At 40.2% G+C, this 21,518-nt stretch overlaps 2 protein-coding genes across 4 annotated transcripts in view, besides 2 other annotated features; one reads left to right on the top strand and one right to left on the bottom strand.

Annotated features, from left to right (window-relative positions):
- Positions 1-5,422, bottom strand: part of SLC9A6 (solute carrier family 9 member A6) — a 73,433-nt gene extending 68,011 nt beyond the window's left edge. Inside the window, exons 1-2 of one of the 2 annotated variants that reach the window (NM_001400909.1) lie at positions 5,227-5,422; positions 4,476-4,622 (exon numbers count right to left, since the gene is read on the bottom strand). The gene's annotated coding sequence lies outside the window, so the exon portion shown is untranslated. Of the gene's footprint in view, positions 1-4,475; positions 4,664-5,226 lie in introns of those variants that run through there. The other variant, NM_001400910.1, reaches the window with a different exon arrangement.
- Positions 5,073-5,182: a silencer, noted in NCBI's record as "silent region_21024". NCBI's record gives its function as "represses an Ori minimal core promoter by ATAC-STARR-seq in GM12878 lymphoblastoid cells {active_cell/tissue: GM12878}" and the evidence as "EXISTENCE:reporter gene assay evidence [ECO:0000049][PMID:35858748]".
- Positions 5,193-5,722: an enhancer, noted in NCBI's record as "active region_29987". NCBI's record gives its function as "activates an Ori minimal core promoter by ATAC-STARR-seq in GM12878 lymphoblastoid cells {active_cell/tissue: GM12878}" and the evidence as "EXISTENCE:reporter gene assay evidence [ECO:0000049][PMID:35858748]".
- Positions 5,271-18,671, top strand: MMGT1 (membrane magnesium transporter 1). 2 transcript variants are annotated; one of them, NM_001330000.2, is made up of 5 exons: positions 5,271-5,359; positions 5,437-5,662; positions 8,149-8,201; positions 11,766-11,869; positions 14,076-18,671. In NM_001330000.2, the coding sequence occupies exons 2-5, from the start codon at positions 5,584-5,586 to the stop codon at positions 14,233-14,235; spliced, it is 396 nt and encodes a 131-aa protein (NP_001316929.1). In that variant the 5' UTR covers positions 5,271-5,359; positions 5,437-5,583; the 3' UTR covers positions 14,236-18,671. The 2 variants fall into 2 exon arrangements, with proteins under 2 accessions (NP_001316929.1, NP_775741.1); NM_173470.3 differs by having other exon boundaries at positions 5,271-5,662.
- Positions 18,672-21,518: the final 2,847 nt, after the last annotated feature.

Below are 21,518 nucleotides of genomic sequence, written 5' to 3'. Positions count from 1 at the left end.
GAACAAAGAATAGGTCACAGCTAGTACCCAGGATAAGGATGCTGAGGTTTTCAGTTTTGTTACTGAAATACCAGGGGTCCCGTCTAGGCCCTGCTGCTCACTGCACAGAAAACCAATCACTGAGACAATAAGTACTGCCAAGGAAGAAAGCTTTAATTGGGTGCTGCAGCCGAGAAGATGGTAGCTCAGTCTCAAATCCATCTCCCTGACCGACTAAAACTAGGGGTTTACAAAGCAGGGAAGAAATGCAATAATGTATAAGAAAACAAGAAGTAGGGAGGGGCAAGGAAGCAATCATGACGAATGAGGGGTCTGGAATCTAGTGTGGTGGTATCTGGTGTGGTGGTCTGGTGAATTTCAGTTCTTTGATGCTTTTTTTTGAGAGGCCTGAAGGTCCTTTCCTGAGGAAGGAACTCAGATCAAACAAATGTAAGTTTCAAGCTTTAAGACTAGAAGGGTCAATTTCTACATTTATCAAAAAGAACAGTCTATGGGAATATTGGATCAGTTTCACTTTATTTTCTGAACAGACCAACCCAATGTGCTCAAAAAGCAAATAAGATTTGCAGTGTCATTAGGAAGGCTATTTGATTTTTTTTTTTTTTTTGAGATGGAGTCTCGCTCTGTTGCCCAGACTGGAGTACAGTGGTGCGATCTTGGCTCACTGCAACCTCTGCCTCCCAGGTTCAAGTGATTCTCTTGGCTCAGCCTCCCGAGTAGCTGGGATTACTGGCATGCGCCACCACACCTAGCTAATTTTTGTGTTTTTAGTAGAGATGGGGTTTCACCATGTTGGCTAGGCTGGTCTTGAACTCCTGACCTCAAGTGATCTGCCCGCCTCAGCCTCTCAAAGTGCTGGGATTACAAGCGTGAGCCACCGTGCCCAGCTAGGAAGGCTATTTGAAATGAATAATCATATTAACCTCACACAAGTAACCTAGGATACTTTGTGCACATGTGGTAATGAAACCCTAAGAGAGATATTAGTAGATCTGGAAATGGTCCAGAGAAGAGCAATTAAAATAGTCAAAAGAGAGAAGCAATTGATGTTTTAGGAAAGACTAAAAAGGTAAGGAACCTCTTTAGCTTACAAAAATAGCTAGAAGGGTCAATAGCAACAACAACAATGGCTGACATTTACTTAGTGTTTACTATGTGTAAGACTATTCTAATCACTTTATATGTATGATCTCACTCAATGCTGATAACAACCTAGGCAGGTAAACACTATTATTATCCTCATTTCACAGATGAGAAAACTGAGGCGCAGTGAAGTTAAGTAACTTCTCCAATCTCTCAGAGGTAGAAAAGGAAAAGCAAGGATTCAAACCCAAAACTATTCCAGAGCATATGCTTTTAACCACTGTAGTGTAGATCATCCAGCAAGTAAACAAATCTTAAAGATATGAATCATGTAACCACAGTACTGTTTACTCAGATTCAAAACTTAAAATACCAAGGTACCACTTAATGCTTCAAGACAAATACTTTTTTTTATTGTTTGAATTTCTTACAATGAGCTCATACCACTTTGGTAATGAAAAAAAAAAAGTAAACAGGATGCGATTTCAATATTGAAAGTACTAGTTTACTCGGCAGGTAGTAAACTTCTAGAATGTGTTACCCAGAGAGGTTGTACGAAATATAAATAGCTCAAAGAAAGGTTTTGTGCCTACAATAGGTATATATCTCATAAATATCTATAATAGTCAGGAGCATATTCCTAAGGAAAGTGGAATTTTGAACCAGGTGGGAAAGAACAGTGTGCCAGATCGAGGGAGAATCTGCATGGAAAATGGAGACGTGGATAAGCAGTGTGTGAAGATACTCGTGGAGCTGGGTGGCATGTAATAAGTCAATTAGCTTGAAGATGAGTCTGGGATAGCAGTGCTTTCTCTATTCAGTGAACTAGCCTGGGAAACGTGATAAGTCTTCACAAATAACATCTCAGTAGGAAACGCTTTAGAGACCATTATCCCCATCTTTAATAACATCCACATCATTTATCCAAGGTGCATATGGAAAATGGCTCTTTCTTTGGAAAAACAAACAGCACTTCTGGGGTCACTTAGGAATTTAAATGCACTTTCTCATGAGGTTTGACTTTTGTTCTAAGAGCTCATGAAAACAGTGCTACCACTAGCTGTACCTTGCACCTTTGGGATTAACTGCAACTTAAAGAACCATGTATGAGTGAACCCAAGGTACTTATTTGAATGATACAGTCCTTGGTAACTGTGACTATGAATACCTTGGCTTCCCTTCAGGTTGGAATCTACAGAAAAGACAATTAAAATCTCACTCCCTGAACATAATTTAACCATGTATTACTAGAAAATGTGAAACGAGGCTAGTTTCTCTTGCATTCAGTATATGGGTAAAGAGGTAAAAAAAGAGTGAGAAATGCATCTTAAGAGGGCAATAGAGAAAACAAAACTCAATATCTGGACATGGGTGATCTCCCTGAAGACTAGGATAATGCATTGGTGGTTTATACAAATACCAGATTCATTATTGAATTTCTTTTTTCCTATAACTTCATCTTTTTAAAGGAAAAGAACCAGATCTCAGGTCCTATAAGAAAACTCCTAATCATTTTCTGCTTCAGATAAATTGATATTAAAAGGGTTTTTTTCTTTTTTCTTTTTTTTTTTTGGAAATGGAGTTTCACTCTTGTTGCCCAGGCTGGAGTGCAATGGCGTGATCTCGGCTCACTGCAACCTCCGCCTCCTGGGTTCAAGCGATTCTCCTGCCTCAGCCTCCTGAGTAGCTGGAATTACAGGGGCCCACCACCACGCCCGGCAAATTTTTTGTATTTTTAGTAGAGATGGGGTTTCACCATGTTGGCCAGGCTGGTCTGGAAGAAGGGGTAATTTTACAGGGGATCTGAAAAGGCTAATTTCAATCTGACCATTATTTTAGACAAAACAAAGTTGTAAGATTTTTTTGGTCAACTATCTTTTCTACCTTATTACCTCCCAGGGGCGGAGAAGGAAGCACTTTCCTGTCAACTACAGAGAGATTATCTCCTGGTTCTTCCTGATTGTATAAATAGAACTACATTTGTAAGGAATGCATTATACTGCACTTGACATCCATCAAGTATTGTGTAAAATTCTGGCTTAGAGGTGAAGAAATTGGAAAGGGCCCAGAAAAGAATAATGAACATGACTAAAGGTTTGGAAAATGAGATCCAGGACAAAAATTATATAAGTAAAGTTGAGGAAATATGATTAATTTTAGATGTCTTCTTCTACTTTTTTTTTTTTTTTTTTTTGGTTAGAGAAAGGGTCTCGCTCTGTCACTCAGCCTGTAGTGCAGTGGCATAATCATGGCTCACTGTAGCCTTGAACTCCTGGGATCAAGCAATCCTCCTTCTTTAGCTTCCCAAGTAGCTAGGACTACAAGCATGTGCTACTATGCCCAGCTAATGAGATGTCTTATTTGTTTTTCCAGCTTTGAGGAAGCTCAAGCATATCAGAAAATGTTTACAATCAAAAGGTTGTCAAAATGTGAGAGTACATGCAAGTCCATGGGGATTTTTGAGCCCAATTCAAAAGATTGGAAGGACTCTCTGTAGAGATCCTTTCAAATAGGGATACTGTCCCAATTATTTTCCGGAATTCATTTGTCATTCAACAAGCACTTATTGAATGCTTATCACATGACAGTCAAAGTTTTAGGTACAGAGAAATCTCTGTTCTCTCAGAGCTTACATTCCAGTGGGGAAAGACAGACAGTAAACAGTAACACAACAAACATAAATAGTTAAATTATATAGTATGTTAGAAGGTGATATAAAAAGTAGAACAGAATAAGGGGATCAGGAATAGGAATTTTGCACATTTAAAAGGGGTGGTCAGGATAGGACGCATCTTTGAGCAAAAGCAAATTGATGCAACTAAAACGTAGAATTCTGATTGGGTTAAAGGAAAAGAATGGTGATCATACTTTGCATTTACCTTGTGATATGCAGTTTACAAAGCTTTGCCACTCAGTCAGGGGTCACTGGAGGAACTGGTGCAGAATTTGGAAAAAAAGGATGAATTCCATTTTAGCCATATTACGTTTTAAGTGCCACAGGAAATAAATGCCTATCTGGTAGTCAGAAATGCAGCCCTGGAGCTAAGGAGAGATATTTGTGATAGAGATGTCGATTTGGAATCACTGTAATACCTTTGCTGGCTGAAGCGGTGGGAATGAATGGGTGAGCTCCCCAGGGGACAGCAGAGTGATGAGGTCAAGGGGAGAAGCTCACTATTAAATGTCTACATTTCAGGAGATGAAGACAAAGAAAAATGGGCAGAGGAGTATACATTTTACCCGGATCAGAGATAGAGACAAGGCAAGAAGGCTGCGTTATTAGCATTTTAAAATTTCCTCTTTCATTTCTTCCTTAATGTAAGCTGGTTCTTTTCACGACAAAACACTCCCCCCGCGCTACACCTCTTTTTGCGCGAATCTTTCTCCAGGACCTTAAAATGGTTTACTGAGCACTTCCCGCGAGCCAAGTATTTGGGGTTCCAGATCCTGGGATTTTGTCCTGACACTGCCTCCTCGTTTTAACACCCTTGCCTCCTTCTGCAGTGCCAGTTTCCAGGGAGCTGAAGCACAGGAAAGGCCTACAGAAAACAAAAGGCACAGTTTCACAAAAAGCCAAAACCAACCAACCCACAAAACACAACTGTCAGGGGTCTATATCCAGCACCTACCGCCTTTCCCCAACGCCCCCAGCCCCGCCCCTCGGCCCCACCTCCTCCCGCCCCTCGGCCCCACCTCCTCCCCGCCCCCTCGGTCCCACTCCTCCGCGCCCCCTCGGTCCCACCTCCTCCCCGCCCCTCGGTCCCACCTCCTCCCCGCCCCCTCGGCCCTCACCCACTCTCCGTCCCCTCCGCCCCGCCCCCTACGCCCCACCCATCCTCCCGTAGGCCCCGCCCTCGGCCCCACCTCCTCCCCGCCCCTCGGCCCCACCTCCTCCCCGCCCCTCGGCCCCACCTCCTCCCCGCCCCTCGGCCCCACCCATCCTCCCCGCAGGCCCCGCCACTCGACCGCACCCACCAGGGCCCCCCCCCCCCGGCTACGCCCACCCACCCACCCACTGGCCCCGCCCCTCGGCTACACCCACCCTCGTGCGGGCCCCGCGCGTCTTCCCCACCCCGCCCGTCTGCCTACCCCGCCCCTCGCCCCCACACGTTCTCTACGCAGGCCCCCGTCCCTCTGCCCCACCCTGTTCTCGCCACTGGCCCTGCCCCCATTTGCCGGCGCCCTTCCTCTTCGCTTCCCCGTAGCTCCCGCTTTCGCCTCTTCGTTTATGACTCCGTTGGGCTCCGGCCCTCCTAGAGAGGCCTCCATAGCGCAGGTTCGTGGGTTCTCGCGGACCTTTTTCCGTGTAGCTTTCTGCTTCTTCCCGGCATTCCTGTTTCCGTTTTCTCACAGCCCTCTGGCTTTTCCACCACTGAGACACTTTGCGCTCAGGACTTCAGTGACGTCATCTTTCTGCGGCGCGCGGACACCCGCCGGTGGAAGAAGAAACAGCTCCGCCGTCCTTCGCTTCTTTTGCTGGGCTGCTGCTCCTTCGGCATCATGGCGCCGTCGCTGTGGAAGGGGCTGGTGGGCATCGGTCTCTTTGCCCTAGCCCACGCCGCCTTTTCCGCTGCGCAGCGTAAGTGCCTGGGGCACGGGGACCGCTTCGGTGTGGAACCCTAGGGGCGGTGTGTGGGCGCACTTCTAAGGGACCATCGGACCGAGTGTCAGATTAATGGTCCTTTGAGACCTTACAGTTTGGGGTGACTAAGAAAATCAGTGCAGGAGTTCCCAGTGGAAGGTTCGGAGTTTGAATTTGGAGAGAGTGTGGCACCTGAAATTGCAGGAAGGTTGGAAGGAGGTGTCTGGGAGAGGGTTCAGAATAGGAGTCTCCAGGAATCCAGGACAAGTGATGTCAGATCCAGCATGGGGCAGATCAGGCACAGTTGTGAGATTGAGGACTCTGGTTGCTCATGGTCCCACGACAACCAAGTGGACAACATCTTGGGCACTCTTGGGCTGTCCAGGCAGAGACTGAGTAGTTAAGTGACCGATTGCCTCAGGGAGGCACTGTGGTACAGGAGAAAGAGCACTGGACTGGGAGTCTAAAGGACTGGTTGTTAAAAACTTGCATTACCGCTACATCTGTGTGACGTTGGGCAAAAGATTTGTGCTACACTGCGTTATGAAATTCAGTTTTGGGTCGCTGTTTGAAATTGCGCTGTGTTTAGGTGCTAGAGATACAGTGATGCCCTGAGCCAGTTCAAAGTCTAAAGGAAAACAAGTGGATCAAGAAGTAGTTACAATAAAGTGATATGCTAAAAGTATATAAGGATGCATGGAAGCAGGGACAGTCATATTTTGGGGGAACTGGGAGGTTAAGGAAAGTATCCTAGATCCTTGCTGCTTACAGTGTGATCAACAGACCAGCATCATGAGCACCACCTGGCAGGTAATTAGAAGATACTCAGGCCAGACCTGTTCAATCAGAATCTGGGTTTTAATAAGATCCCAGGGTGATTTGTATGCGCATTAGTTTGAGAAACACTGTCCTGGAAGAGATTAGGATACACTGGAGTACTGTGTCATTTTCTACAGTAAGCTTTAACTGTAGAATTATATGATTGTGGGGCGAGAAGGGCCTTTGGAGTTCACTGAAGTCCAACCCCTTCATTTTACAGATGAGGAAATTCCTGGTTAAAGGTAGTGTTAGAAGCAGGCGAGGCTTCATGCAAACTAGCAAGCTAGCTAGGAATTGAACCAGATAGGAGATTAGTCAAAATCGATTTTTGGTGTTGGTTTGATGTTTCTTTTACACTTGTCTTTATGACAGAGCTGTAGGTTAAAACTTAAGAAATGTCTCTAAACACATTCTTCTTCAAGAGTCAATACACATGCACTCAAAAACAGTTTGAATTATTTAGTCCAAAGTACGTTATTAAATAGGGATTGTCCTAGGTTCATCTAGAATTAAGATTTTTGTATTTTATGTTTTGGGTGATGAGAATGCCTTGTGGATTTGCCACTGCAGTGAGACCTCTTTATATATAATGCTCATGTTAGGGAGAGAGTAATATGTAACTTTAAGACTAAGTGTGTCATGTCAGACTGTAGCAGCAGATAGCACAATGTGGTGCTGTGGCATGCTCATCTTTGCTGTAATGAACTTTGTTACAGTAGGGCACCAGTCATTTACTGTATCTTGTTTAATCCTCACCTCACATTATTCTCATTTTACTGTTGTGGAAATTCAGGTAATGAAAAAAATAGATACTGTATTTCTTTGATTCTAAGACACCCACCATTTTAACACTCTGAACTTGAGATATGTATTATGATCACTGCGGGCTTCTTTAATTAAATGAAATTATAGTAAATTGAAGAGCTGGCACTGATTTAGGCTTACCAGTTTCCAAATCCTGATCCTTTTCTTTTATCCCTTGCTGCCTCCTGAGGTTAAGGCAGCAGCAGCGGAATTATAATTAACTAGTAGAGGCAGAAATTGATTTCATGGAATTCCTATTCCACCACTGCCCCAGCGTATCCTCTCAGGAGAACCATTTCCATACCAGTATTATTTTGTCCATACTGTGTGGTTGGTGGTGGTGCTATTTCAGAGTTGAGATTTTCTGTAGACTTTACTTTTTAAATAATTGTGATTTCTTTGGCGAGTTAGTGAAAGTAACGGTTTTGAGAAGTTTCTAGTATTTCTATAATAATGAAAGAAAAATTATACTAAGGTATTTCTGCCTCATACTTGCTCACTTGTCACTCTTACCCATTTTATAAGGTGACAAAGCAGGTCATGATGAAAATAAAATAGTTGACTAAGATAGAGCTGACTACCTTAGAAGATAGAAGGTTTTGAGGAATCCAGGATTAGCATTACTTTATGTAGCATATAAGTCAGCCACTTCTTTTTTTATTTTTTATTTTATTTTATTATTATTATACTTTAAGTTTTAGGGTACATGTGCACAATGTGCAGGTTAGTTACATATGTATACATGTGCCATGCTGGTGTGCTGCACATAAGTCAGCCACTTCTTTGGTATATTGATTTGCTTCATTTTAAGAAAGAAAAATGAACTACAGTTTCCTTAATGGTATGCTTCTGGTTTATAGATCGTTCTTATATGCGATTAACAGAAAAAGAAGATGAATCACTGCCAATAGATGTAAGTTGGTCATTTATATTCCGTTACATGTATGTTTAAAATCAGCCACATAGCTTGTAATAATTTTTTTTTTACTGGTTTTTCGTAAAATTTTTCAGACATGAAATAAAATCTGATCTCCACTTTTCTTTTCTTTTCTTTTCTCTTTTGAGACGGAGTCTCACTCTGTCACCCAGGCTGGAGTGCAGTGGCCTGATCTCAGCTCACTGCAAGCTCCGCCTCCCAGGTTCACACCATTCTCCTGCCACAGCCTCCCGAGTAGCTGGGACTACAGGTGCCCACCACCATGCCCGGCTAATTTTTTGTATTTTTAGTAGAGACAGGGTTTCACCGTGTTAGCCACGATGGTCTCGATCTCCTGACCTCATGATCCGCCTGCCTTGGCCTCCCAAAGTGCTGGGATTACAGGAGTGAGCCACCGCGCCTGGCCTGTGATCTCCACTTTTCATCACTCATAAAGCTCAAAGATTTGGAAAGGTTTCTCTATTTGGTTTCTAGAGCTGTAGTCGAAATAGTCTTTCTCGAAGATGCTCTGTCCATAGTATGGGATGGACTTAAAAAGTTGATTATTTAGCTTTATTTCTTAGAAAAGTTCATTTTTATGTAAGGGAAATAAAGCCAACAGTACATTGTTTAGGGACATACATAGGTGGTAAAATGAAAGTGGTTTTAGTTTTTTTTCTTTTTTTTGAGACAATGTTTTGCTCTTGTTGCCCAGGCTGGAATGCAGTGACGCGATCTGGGCTCGTTGCAACCTCTGCCTCCCAGGTTCAAGCAATTATCCTTCCTCAGCCTCCCAAGTAGCTGGGATTATAGGCGCCCACCACCACGCCCAGCTAATTTTTTTGTGTTTTTAGTAGAGACAGGGTTTCCCTGTGTTGGCCAGGCTAGTCTCGAACTCCTGACCTCAGGTGATCCATCTGCCTCAGCCTCCCAAAGTGCTGGGATTACAGGTGTGAGCCACAGCGCCCGACCAGGAAAGTGTTTTTTAAAACTAAAATGATAAGTATTCCAGCATCACTCACAATTTTTATCTTTACTAGACTTGAAATTACACAAGTAGTAAGTTCTTTGTAACAGAGTCAAACAGTAAAAACTAAAACTGACCCTACACAATTATAAAAACACCAACAACAGAAGAACTGGCCCCGTTCCTTGGCAGTTCCACTTCTACTCCCAACAGTTTGGAGTATAGCAGTAGTTCAGTCTTCTTCCTATACACAAACAGCATTATGTATGTGTAGTTTTACCTAATCCAAACACGTATTATTTTTTCTTTAAAAAGTTATACATGTGTATATATGTATAGTTTTATAATTAACTTTTTTATTACTTAACAACTTCAGTCTTACTTTCATGACAGCTCATATAGATTCTTGTTAAAAGTGCCTGTGACTGTGTTATATAAAACAAGTCTTCTGGCCAGGCATGGTGGCTCACGCCTGTAATCCCAGCACTTTGGAAGGCCAAGGCAGGCAGATCATGAGGTCAGGAGATCAAGACCATCCTGGCTAACACGGTGAAACCCCGTCTCTACTAAAAACACAAAAAATTAGCCGGGCATGGTGGTGGGCGCCTTAATCCCAGATACTCGGGAGGCCAAGGCAGGAGAATCACTTGAACCCGAGAGGCAAAGGTTGCAGTGAGCCGAGATCATGCACTCGAGATCTGCACTCCAACCTGGGTGACAGAGCGAGACTCCATCTCAAAAACAAAAACCAAGTGTTCTTGGTAGACTGGTGGTGGGAATGTAAATTGGTATCGTATATGATGTTAGATTTTAATTTAAACAGGAAAATAGATTGTGGCTAATTTTGACTTTGTCTGTAATTAAATATATGATTGATGAGGCTGTTAACTCCTATCACCTTTTTTTTGTGGTAGATACACACACACACACACACACACACACATACACATATTTATGTCTATTTTAAAGAACTTTTTTCTATAATCTGAACATGCCCATAATCCCATGTTGGTTAAAATAAAACATTCTGCGTTTTTGCTCGCTCAACCTCTTTGGAAAGCAGTTGATATTACTCAATCAAATTGAACATGTGCATACTCTACACTCAGTGTTTCCATGTGTGAACTGGGCGACATGCATATGAATATTCATGTTGATTGTGAAGGTAACAGGAAACAACCCACATATCCAATAACAACAGCAGAATGGATAAATTGTGGTATTTTCATATCATGAAATACAAAGCACAGTGAAAACTGGCCGAGCACGGTGGCTCATGCCTGTAATCCCAGCACTTTGGGAGGCTGAGGCAGGCGGATCACCTGAGGTCAGAATTTGAAACCAGCCTGGCCAACATGGTGAAACCCCATCTCTACTAAAAATACAAAAATCGGTTGGGTGCAGTGGCGGGCACCTGTAATCCTAGCTACTTGGGGGCTGAGGCACGAGAATCACTTGAACCTGGGAGGCTGAGGTTGCAGTGAGCCGAGATTGCACCACTGCACTCCAGCCTGGGTGACAGAGCAAGACTCCATCTCAAAAAAAGAAAACACACACACACACACACACACACACACACACACACACAATGACATAATGTTGAGCGAGGAAAGCTAGACACAAAAGAATACATTTGAGTCCATTTAAATAAAGTTCAGTATGGGCAAAAGTAAGGCATATATGTTTTAGAGATTCATATATATTTAATAGCTGGTAAAATTATCAAGAAAAACAAGAAACTGAGTAATATATAATTCAGGACCATAGTTAACTTTGAGAGGGAAGGTAAAGGATATCATCTGAGATTGACATGTGGAACTTGAAAGGTACTAGGAATGATCTATTTCTTAAGCTGGGTGGTGGGTACATGGTCTTTTAATTGCTTTATGCTGTGTACATATGCTTTCTGCACTCTATGATATATAACAATAATACTGGCTGGGTGTGGTGGCTCACGCCTGTAATCCCAGCACTTTGGGAGGCCGTGGCGGGCGGATCACCTGAGGTCAGGAGTTCGAGACCAGCCTGACCAACATGGAGAAACCCCGTCTCTACTAAAAATACAAAATTAGCCTGGCGTGGTGGCGCATGCCTGTAATCTACTCAGGAGGCTGAAACAGGAGAATTGCTTGAACCCGGGAGGTGGAGGTTGCAGTGAGCCGAGATTGCACCATTGCACTCCAGCCTGGATAACAAGAGGGAAACTTCGTCTCAAAAACAAAAAGCAAACAACAACAACAACAACAAAAAAAAAACAAAAACAATAATACCTTAAAAATTCTTAGTTGCTCTTGGAAGCAGGTAATATTTGATCATTGAGTTCTGAGTGGCTCAGTACCATTCAGTACTCAGTGATTTTGCTTATTTGAACACTAGATTTATTTATTGAAGCATCAGAGGTATTTTTGCAGCCAATCCACAGAATTTATAGATTGTATTGTGTCTGAATCCCAGTCATTTCAAGTGAGCATTGTCTCCCTGATGGTGGCCCTGAGAGGACTACCTGTTAGAGGCAATGAAGAGGTAGAGAGAAAATTGTAAATATTTATAATAATGTTTGTGTTATTTAGTATTATCAATCTTTATACTCACAGATAGTTCTTCAGACACTTCTGGCCTTTGCAGTTACCTGTTACGGTATAGTTCATATTGCAGGAGAGTTTAAAGACATGGATGCCACTTCAGAACTGAAAAATAAGTAAGTCTTTCTCTTTTCATAGGCATTGCATTTCATAGAGGTTTGCTGTATTCACATAATTTTAAAAAGTATGTTTTCTGATACATAAAAGTTGGTTTTGTTTCTGCATTTTGATTACACAGTTTGTATGAATAATGAGGTAAAAACATTGAGGCGGTATTTGATACTGTAAGAAAATGGAAGATGAATGCCAGATTATTCACAGTAGAATCAAAAAAATACGTTGCTTAAAATTATTGGTTGGTTGTATGGATGAAAATAGATATATAGAAAAATAATGCCTCAGAATTTTTAACCTTTCTCCTTCCATTCCTTCCTTGCTCCCTTTCTTCCCCCCTCCCTTCCCCCTTTCACTCCTTCCATCCCTCTCTTCCTACCATCCTCTTTCTATCCTCTTGTCCCAGCTTAGTCTTTGGAAGAGTAAGTGGTTTTCGGTTTCCCCTCTCACTTGAACCTAGTATGTGAGATAAGCTCTGCTCCCAGGCCCTTTTCTACTACTGGATTAAAAGTATATTTGTTATTCTGCTTTCTTTTTTTTCTCCTGGACTACTTCTAAGCTATTTTCATGAGCTATGTTTGCTTTTATTTTTCATATTTTTACTTTCCTAAAATCATCCTTTAGCTTTGTTCAGTTCCATCTCTGGACTTTACCCACCTTCTTGATCCTGGACATGATGCCCCTTTACAATATTTTCTTAGAAGGAGTCACAGTGAACATTTATGTGTTAGAGGAAAGTCATATCCCCCTTTTAGTTCATTATGTACATTTTATTTATTTTTATTTCTTTCTTTCTTTATGGAGACAGAGTCTCTATCAACCAGGCTGGAGTGCAGTGGCATGATTTTGGCTCACTGCAACCTCTGCCTCCTAAGTTCAAGTGATTCTCCTGCCTCAGCCTCCTGAGTAGCTGGGATTAACAGGCACCTGCCGCCATGCCCGGCTAATTTTTGTATTTTTAGTAGAGACGGGGTTTCACCATGTTGGCCAGGATGGTCTCGAACTCCTGACCTGAAGTGATCCACCCGCCTTGGGTTCCCAAAGTTCTGGGATTACAGATGTGAGCCAACGTGCCCCACCCAATATGTACATTTTAAGGAGTTACATATCAGGCCTCTTTTTTGTATGGGAGTATGCTTGGATGTTTAGGTGGGCTGAGATTTGAGTTTTTGTCAAAGGAAGAGTTCTCCTATCCTTTCCAGGAAAATAATATTGAAAAACAAAAACCATAAAGGCCACACACCAAGGTGTTTGTGAACTCTTTTAGACTACATATCTCTCACTGGAAAAGTAGAAAGGATACTTTACTGTCATCACTGCTTGCTCTTACAAAGAGTCTACCAAGAATCACAGGCAAGGGGCCAGGAAAGAAAGAAGTAAAACAATGTCATTAAGTAGGTGGTAGAAAAATATGTGTTTGGACAATAGCAGGTACAGAGGGCCAAAAGGAATTTTTTGTTGTGCTTGAAAGATTCTTGGAAAACAGATCTGTGAAACGATCATATGGCTTGAATAATGAGGGCCAAATGAGAATAATCAAAGCTGTAATCTATGTGCTGCTTTTTTAAAAAGACTATTCGACATGCGTTACTGTTAGATTTACAGGGGAGATTAATAGTTGAGCTAGTATTTGTGTTGTTATTCATAGGCATTCTGGAAGGAATGGCTGGATAAAAAAAAATATTAGAAGCCGGGCATCATGGCTCATACCTGTAATCTCAGCTCTTTGGGAGGCTGAGGTAGGAGAATTGCTTGATCCTAGGAGTCTGAGACCACCTGGGCAACATTGGGAGACCCTGTCTCTACAAAAAATAATAATAAAAGAAAGCCATGTGTGGTGGTGCGCATCTGTAGTGCCAGCACTTGGGGGGCTGAGATGAGAGGGTCGCTTGAGTCCAGGAGTTTGAGGCTGCAGTGAGCTATGATTGTGCTACTGCACTCCAGCCTGGGCAACAGAATGAGACCCTATCTCTATTTTTTTTAAAAAGAAGAAATTTGAGAGCTATATGCTGCTTTTCCAGGTTTCTTATTTTCTTTATATAGGAAAAGAGATACAGTATAATTATTATTTACAGTCTGATTTCATGTATTAATACTTGTTAAAAAATATAACCCATAGTAAATTGATAATTCGTTAGAAGCCTACTTATTTTCAAGTAGGGTTTTATAAAGGTTTATCTAAAATTGATGCTTTTTTCTTCTTTCAAGGACATTTGATACGTTAAGGAATCACCCATCCTTTTATGTATTTAATCATCGTGGTCGAGTACTTTTCCGGCCTTCGGATACAGCAAATTCTTCAAACCAAGATGCATTGTCCTCTAACACATCATTGAAGTTACGAAAACTCGAATCACTGCGTCGTTAAGATTTTTACAAATTATAATAATAGGACAGGACACAGAGCTGGAATATTGGAGTTTGGGGTATAAAACACTCCTCCCTGCCCCCATTAGTATTTATATTGATCTTTCAGACCTACTTTAGTAAAAAAAACCATGGCCCTTGTTTATATACTGTTAATCCAATCATTAATGCAGTGTAAGTTATATGTGAAATGAGTCTTTGGTATTTCATATAGGAATTATTTTTTTTTTCATTTAAAACAAATCCACATCTTTTGTAAAAGCCACTGTTTTGAACACATTTCCTTGAAAAATGTTGGTGGTTTTTGTGATTATTTATTTTTTTAGATTTCTTTTCTTTTGCACTACAATTTTTGGAATCCTTTTGGAAATACTGTGTGACTGCTGTGTTTTGCAGCATGAATTATAGTAAAATGGTCTTCAATTCTTAACAAATGGACTTCCCTGATGAGACCAAAATGGTGATTTAACAGTTTTTCTTGTGTCCCCTAAAAAGTGGCTCTGCTTCAGAAGTACTTGCCAGTTTTTAATTTATTTGTGACTTTTCACCCTACCCTGCTCCCATATACCTTCTACCATCAGCTGTCTTGTTTCATCATTTCTCTGAGATTCTGTGTGCAGTGAGCAATTTTTGTGTCAGAAATTCTTTGTCAGAACAAATATATGTAACAGGCTCAACTTACTGTAAAGCTACTTGTGTTCTCTTCATTTGTCTGTAAAAATTTCCCTAATTGATTATATAGTGTAAGAATAGTTGAAGACTAGTTGAAGACCTTTTGTGATTTCATTATCATGCCTATGCAGAAGAAAAATCATTGAGGAAAATTGTCATTAGCCAGTTTAACTGATTCAAACTCTGTTTATTTCATACTAAACTAGTGAATAAGTGAAATAAAGGAAACTCGTCATTAATCTAAAGACAGAGTTCAAAGGAATTGGGCCAAATATATTCTCAGTATTTGGAACTAATGTTTTTAAGGTTTTTAGGAAAATCAGGTCATTTAAGAAATTGTTTTGTAGTTTCTGGTTTATAGCAGTCTTCAAGTTTTCCATCTTCACTGTATGTTGCTGAAAGTGAGGATGAGGATACAGAGTTGATATTTTTAGAAACAGTAATTTTACTTTTAAGGAAATTGGCTAGCTCTTTGAGCTAGAGAGCTGTAGGAAGCTCAACATTTCTTTGTAGAGAACGTTGCTTTTTTTGGATTGTACAGGTATAAAAACATTGCTTTTGTTGAATTGTATAGGTGTAAAAAGGGAATAACTGTATGCAGGTTTGAAAAGGAAATGTGCTTTAGGCATGAGTCATAAGATGCCATTGTACTTGTAGGCATTTTATTTTCCTTTAGAAATGGACATCAGCTCTTCTCTTCTGACTGGTAACACATAGCCCCAAAGCATGAGATTATTTTTCATTGGGTTTTTATTGTTGTTTAGTTTTGGTTTGTTACGCCAGCCCAGTCTGTCTGCGGAACACTGACTCTGCTCTCTAATGAGAACAAAGTTAGAAATCTGCCGATAACCTAAAATAATTTAGAAATGAATTAAAAATGTGAAATCGGGTTAAAGTGATGATGATAAAATAGCATGCAAGAAACAAGCTCCTTCCATCAGACTTGGCTACTGTTTTCTTCTGGTACGATTTGGTTTGGAAGAGCCTCTTGTTTCCTTCTCTTTGGGGTATGTCTTCGTTTCTTAATATGTTTGTAACATTATTGAGATATAATTCACATACCTTACAATTCACTTATTTTAAGGGTACAATTTAGTGGTTTTTAGTGTATTCACAAAGTTGTGTAACCGTGACCACAGTCAATTTTAGAACATTTCGTTACCCCAAAAAGAAACCCTGTACCCTTGAGCAGTCACCTCTCATTTTCTCCCAGTGCCCACCCCATCCCCGAGCCCCTGGCAACCACTAATCTATTTCTCTCTCTGTAGATTTGCTTATTCTGGTCATTTCATATAAATGGAATTCTACAATATTCGGTCTTTTGGGACTGGCTTCCCAAATATGATTTTCTATATGGAGTGAGAAAATTCTTCTCATCTTGAGAACTCTTATTGCTGTGAAAGGGAGTGGTTGGTAAAATCAATAGATTTCAGGCAAGAGGGCCAGATACCTAACAGGTTTTTCTCCGTGAATCTTATGCTGAGTAGTTTTTCCTCATAACCAAGCATTTATGATATATTACTACTTATAATACTGTGGCTAGTCTCTAGAATGGATGTTGAAATCTTTGCCTCCTCAGTCGGGAAGAGTCCTGCTAAAAATCAGGCTAAAAATCAGGCCAAAAATCAGGCCAAATGACTTGGCAAATAATTGACAAAGTGGTTTTCACGTGTGTCTATCTTTGCTAGCAGCTTGTATACCTCAGGCCAGGTGAGCTCCCCAAATTTCTTTTTTCATTTACTCCAGTGAGTTTCTGCTGTCTTTTTCAAGTATGTACCATAGGACTTAAAGGTGATTTGGATGCGTTGTAACACTGCTAAATATGCTAAGTACAGAATTTTATCTACAGTACTGTGAGACAGTCAATTATTGCCTAGGGTAGTTCAAAAATATGATGTGAGCTAGTTAAGCCTTTGCTTGACTGATTTCAGTGATATTCAGAAGTGTGTACCAATCAAGGCTCTTTAAAATACGGAACGACTCACTTAATAACCAGGGAACCAGCCAAATACTGTGCAGCCGCAGAATATGCATATCAATGAGTTGGAGGTGATTATTCTCTGTAACTCCCTAATGATTGTTTTCTAAGCATTGTGGCTTCTCAGTGGCTTGACAGCATCTTCCTGGTTGTATGTGGCCTGTTTACATGATGTATTGAATAATGTTGTTTGTTGTGAGCATCAATGCCTGTAACACCAAACTAAACACGTGTTTTTGGGATATGTTTCCAATCTTTAAATGACCTTGCCCTGTCCAATAAATAAATGATTGTCTCACCCTGTTTTTGGTAGTGTTTTTTGGGCTTTTTTTTTTTGGACTTTTAATCTCATTTCTTCTGCTTTTCTGTCCCCAGAAAAATGTAAGAGCTAATTTTATGACTGTATTTTTCTACTGTGATGCTGTTTTACTGAATTCAATGGATAATTTAATTGTACATGTAAAATCTTACTGCAGTTTTATGTTTTTAATAGTCAAAATAGAATGTATAATCTTGATGATGTTTATAAATCATCAAATGCCCTTTGGGGTGTAAAAATGGGTTCTTGAGCAGCAGTGTCTAATGATTCCATCACAAATTTGTTATAAAGCCAAACTCCCATTGAAAGTGTCACTTTATACTTAATAGGAAATCGTTATGATTAAAGCATCAAGGAAGCAAATATAAAGTTTAATGAAAATCCAAGGGGAAGTTCTAAATTGCAAAACTTGGCACTTATCTACAGTATTTTGAAAAATAACACCACCGGTATTCAAACCTACCTAGGAATATCTCAAAATAACCTGTTAATTAAGTGTTCTTAGAAAGGGGAGTGGGGGCAAGAAAGATGATGTATGCACATGGCGAAAAGATCAGATGGTACAGAAAGGTATAAAAACTTGGTCCCTTCCCTCCTACCCTAATACTCCTCTCCAAAAGTAACCAGTTTCAAGTGTCTTGTACTCACAGGAAAACAATTTTTTATTTTTTATCAGCAAATTTGTACTTTAAAAATTTCACATTAATAGAATCAGACTATATATACTCTTCTGTACCTTGCTTTTTTTGCTACCTGTGTTTTATGAGATCTTTCTGTATCAGTATATATAAAAATACCTCATTATTTTTAGCGGCTGTGTGGTATTCTAATGTTTGAATGTGTTACAAATGTTCAAACACTGATAGGCTCTTTAGGTTGTTTCCAATATTAAATCACATTGTGGTGAATATACTTGTACATATAATGAGTTTTTATTCTACAGTGTACCTAGCAATACAATTGCTGGATCAGAGGGTATTTTTTATTTTCAGTTCAGTAGTTACTGCCAAATTGTCCTCTAGAAATCTTTGCCCAGTATGCTTCCACATATAATGTATGAGAATGATTATTTACCAAACCCATGCCAATACTGGGTACTAAACTTTTGAAGTCTGATCATGTGAAAGTGAATAAATGGTATCTTGCGTTTTAATGAAGTTCTAATGCATTTTAATGAAGGTCTGGTACATTTTAATGAAGGAGATGGAACACATTTTCATGTTTATTGATTACTGATATTTCCTGTGAAATGTGTAGTCATGTTCTGTTTTCTATTAGGTGGTATGTGTTTTATTGATTTGTATGAGCTTTTTGTAAGCTAAGAAAATTGGTCCATTGTCATGTTTAATAATATTTTCCTAAGTTTTATTTATGTAGTTAAACTTAGTCTTTACAGCTTCTGAGATTTTGCCTTGCTTAGAAAGGCCACCTTTGCATTTAAGAATAAATTTAATGTATTTTTCCAGTATTTTAAAGGTTTTTTTTTCAACTTTTAAATCTTTGATTCATTTGGAATTTGTCTAGGTAGTAAGAGTGAGGAGAGGATTCAACATTTTTCTCTCCAATAGCAATCTATTCTAACCCCATTTATTAACTTTTTCAACACTGATTGGAAAAACCATCATCCTCATTCATACATCAAATTTCCATATGTCTGGTTAGATATGCTTCTGGGTTCTGTAGTCTGTTGCAAAAAATACGAGTCTTTTAATTATTTTAAATTGTTATATATTTTTGTCTTGGGTATTGCTAGTCCATACCTCATTTTTAGGAATTTTTTCTAGTTACTGCATGTTTATTTTTTTCAGATAAGCTTTCATATCATTTTGTCCAAATCTAAAATTATATTTTCCCTGAAATTTAATTTTGAAAAATTTCAAATCTACAGAAAATGTGAAAGAAAATAGGATGGACACCAGTATACTTTTCATTTAGGTTCACCATTTTTAACATTTTACCACTGTTGCTTTTGCTCTCTCCAGATGTGCTTTTCCTCCCCTCCTGATTCATTCGAGCTAAGTTGCAAACTTCATCATCACACTTCAGGACATCACTTAATATGTCAGCATGCCTTTCCTGCAAGAGGGAGGAGATTCTCCCATTTAACCACAATTCCATTATCACAGGTAAAAAAATGGATCAACCACCCAAAGTTTCATATTCATATTTCCCCATGTATCCCCTAAATAGCTTTTATAGCTGTCCCCACCAAGGTTCACAAATTACATTATTAGTGTGTCTCTGTAGTCTCTTTTCAAGTCTGTCTACCTCTTTTTTAAGCTGGTATTTTCTCTAGACAAACTTTATTTTCTTAGAACTGTTTTAGATTTATGGAGAAAATGGGAAGATAGTATAGAGAGTTCCCACATACTCCATACTCAATTTCCTCTATTAACATGTTAGCATGAGGCATTTGACACAATGAGCCAATGTCAATACATTATTATTAGTAGTAGTAGTATTGGTATTACTGGAATGCAATGGCGTGATCTCGGCCCACTGCAACCTCTGCCTCCCAGGTTCAAGCGATTCTCCTGCCTCAGCCACCCGAGTAGCTGGGAGTACAGGCATGCACCACCACGCCTGGTTAATTTTGTATTTTTAGTAGAGACGGGGTTTCTCTATGTTGGTCAGGTTGGTCTCAAACTCCTGACCTCAGGTGATCCACCTGTCTCGGCTTCCCAAAGTGCTGGGATTACAGGCGTGAGCCAACGTGCCTGGCCTAATACATTATTATTAACTAAAGTCCATACTTTATTCAGATTTCCTTTTTTTTTTTTGAGACAGAGTCTCTCTCTGTCACCCAGGCTGGAGTGCAGTGGCGCGATCTCGGCTCACTGCAAGCTCTGCCTCCCGGGTTCATGCCATCCTCCTGCCTCAGCCTCCCGAGTAGCTGGGACTACAGGTGCCCACCACCATGCCCGGCTAATTTTTTGTATTTTTAGTAGAGACGAGGTTTCACGGTGTTAGCCAGGATGTTCTCGATCTCCTGACCTCGTGATCCGCCCGCCTCGGCCTCTCAAAGGGCTGGGATTATAGGCGTGAGCCACCGCGTCCAGCCCCTTTGGTTTTACCTAGTATCCTTTTTGTGTTCTAGGATTCTATCAAGAGGACCACATTACGTTTAGTCATCATGTCTTGGCTCCTCTTGGCTGTGACAGTTTCTTAGACTTCCCTTGTTTTTGATGATCTTGACAGTTTTCAGGAGTGCTGGTCAGGTATTTTGTAGAATCTTCCTCTACTGGGATTTGTTAGATGATTTTTCGGTTATTAAACTGGAGTTGTGTGTGTTTTTGGAGGAAGACCACTAAGGTAAAGTGCTATTCTTATCACATCATATCAAGGACACATTTATACTGCTGATGTTAATCTTGATCACCTGGCTGAGGTAGTGTTTGTCAGGTTTCCCCACTGTAAAGTACTGTTTTTTCCCCTTTCCATACTGTACTTTTTGGAAGGAAGTCACTCTGCACAGCCCACACATAAGGAGTGACATGTTATGCTCCACCTCCTTGAGGACAGAGTATCTACATAACTTATTTGGAATTCTTCTGCATGGGAGATATGCTTCTTCTCCCCCATTTATTCATTTATTTTTATGAGTTTGGACTCATACCTTGCTTTATCCTTTAATACTATATCTTGTTGAAATTGTTCCAGTTTCAGACATTGGTAGCTTTTTCAGTAAACTCCTGTGTCCCTTTGACATATTCCCATCGTTGTCATTGTGAGTTTTCTATTTTTTTTTTTTTATTTGAGTACTTCCTTCCTGGCACTACAAAGATGTTCCGGGCTTGTGTTGTATATTTCCTTCCTCAGTCCTGGAATCAGCCATTTCTCCAAGGAGCATGGTTCCTTTCATTGAAGAATGGTATTACAAACCAAGATCTGGCCACTAGGTTCGCTCATTGCTGCTTGACGTTTCATTGCCTCTAGGCCTTTTCAGCAGACAGATCAAGGAAATATATATGTGCATACTAACCTGTGCATTTATGCCTAAGTGTAAATATGTAACATCTGTATTTCCATTAAATGAAACATGAGTTCATACTGATGTTCAATCCATTACCACATAGATCATTCTAACCTCTTCCCTTTGCTTATCTGTAAACCTCCACTGCAACTGAGAAACCCGACTCCCACCATCGGCTCTCTTCTTGCTTCAACTGTTTAATTCCAGTATACATATAAACTGGCTTCAGAATTGTTAACCCTTTCCCCCACAAGAAACAACTTTATCAGCTAGAGCACAGTGATTATGTAGCTTTGTTGGTTGTTCATTTGTTGCCATTAGTTTCACAGGCTACTCATTTTG

Source organism: Homo sapiens, chromosome X (assembly GCF_000001405.40).
Source record: "Homo sapiens chromosome X, GRCh38.p14 Primary Assembly".
In the NCBI taxonomy this organism is placed as follows: Eukaryota; Metazoa; Chordata; class Mammalia; order Primates; family Hominidae; genus Homo; species Homo sapiens.
The sequence above is the reverse complement of the archived record's forward strand: the minus strand, read 5'-3'. Positions and strand labels throughout refer to the sequence as shown.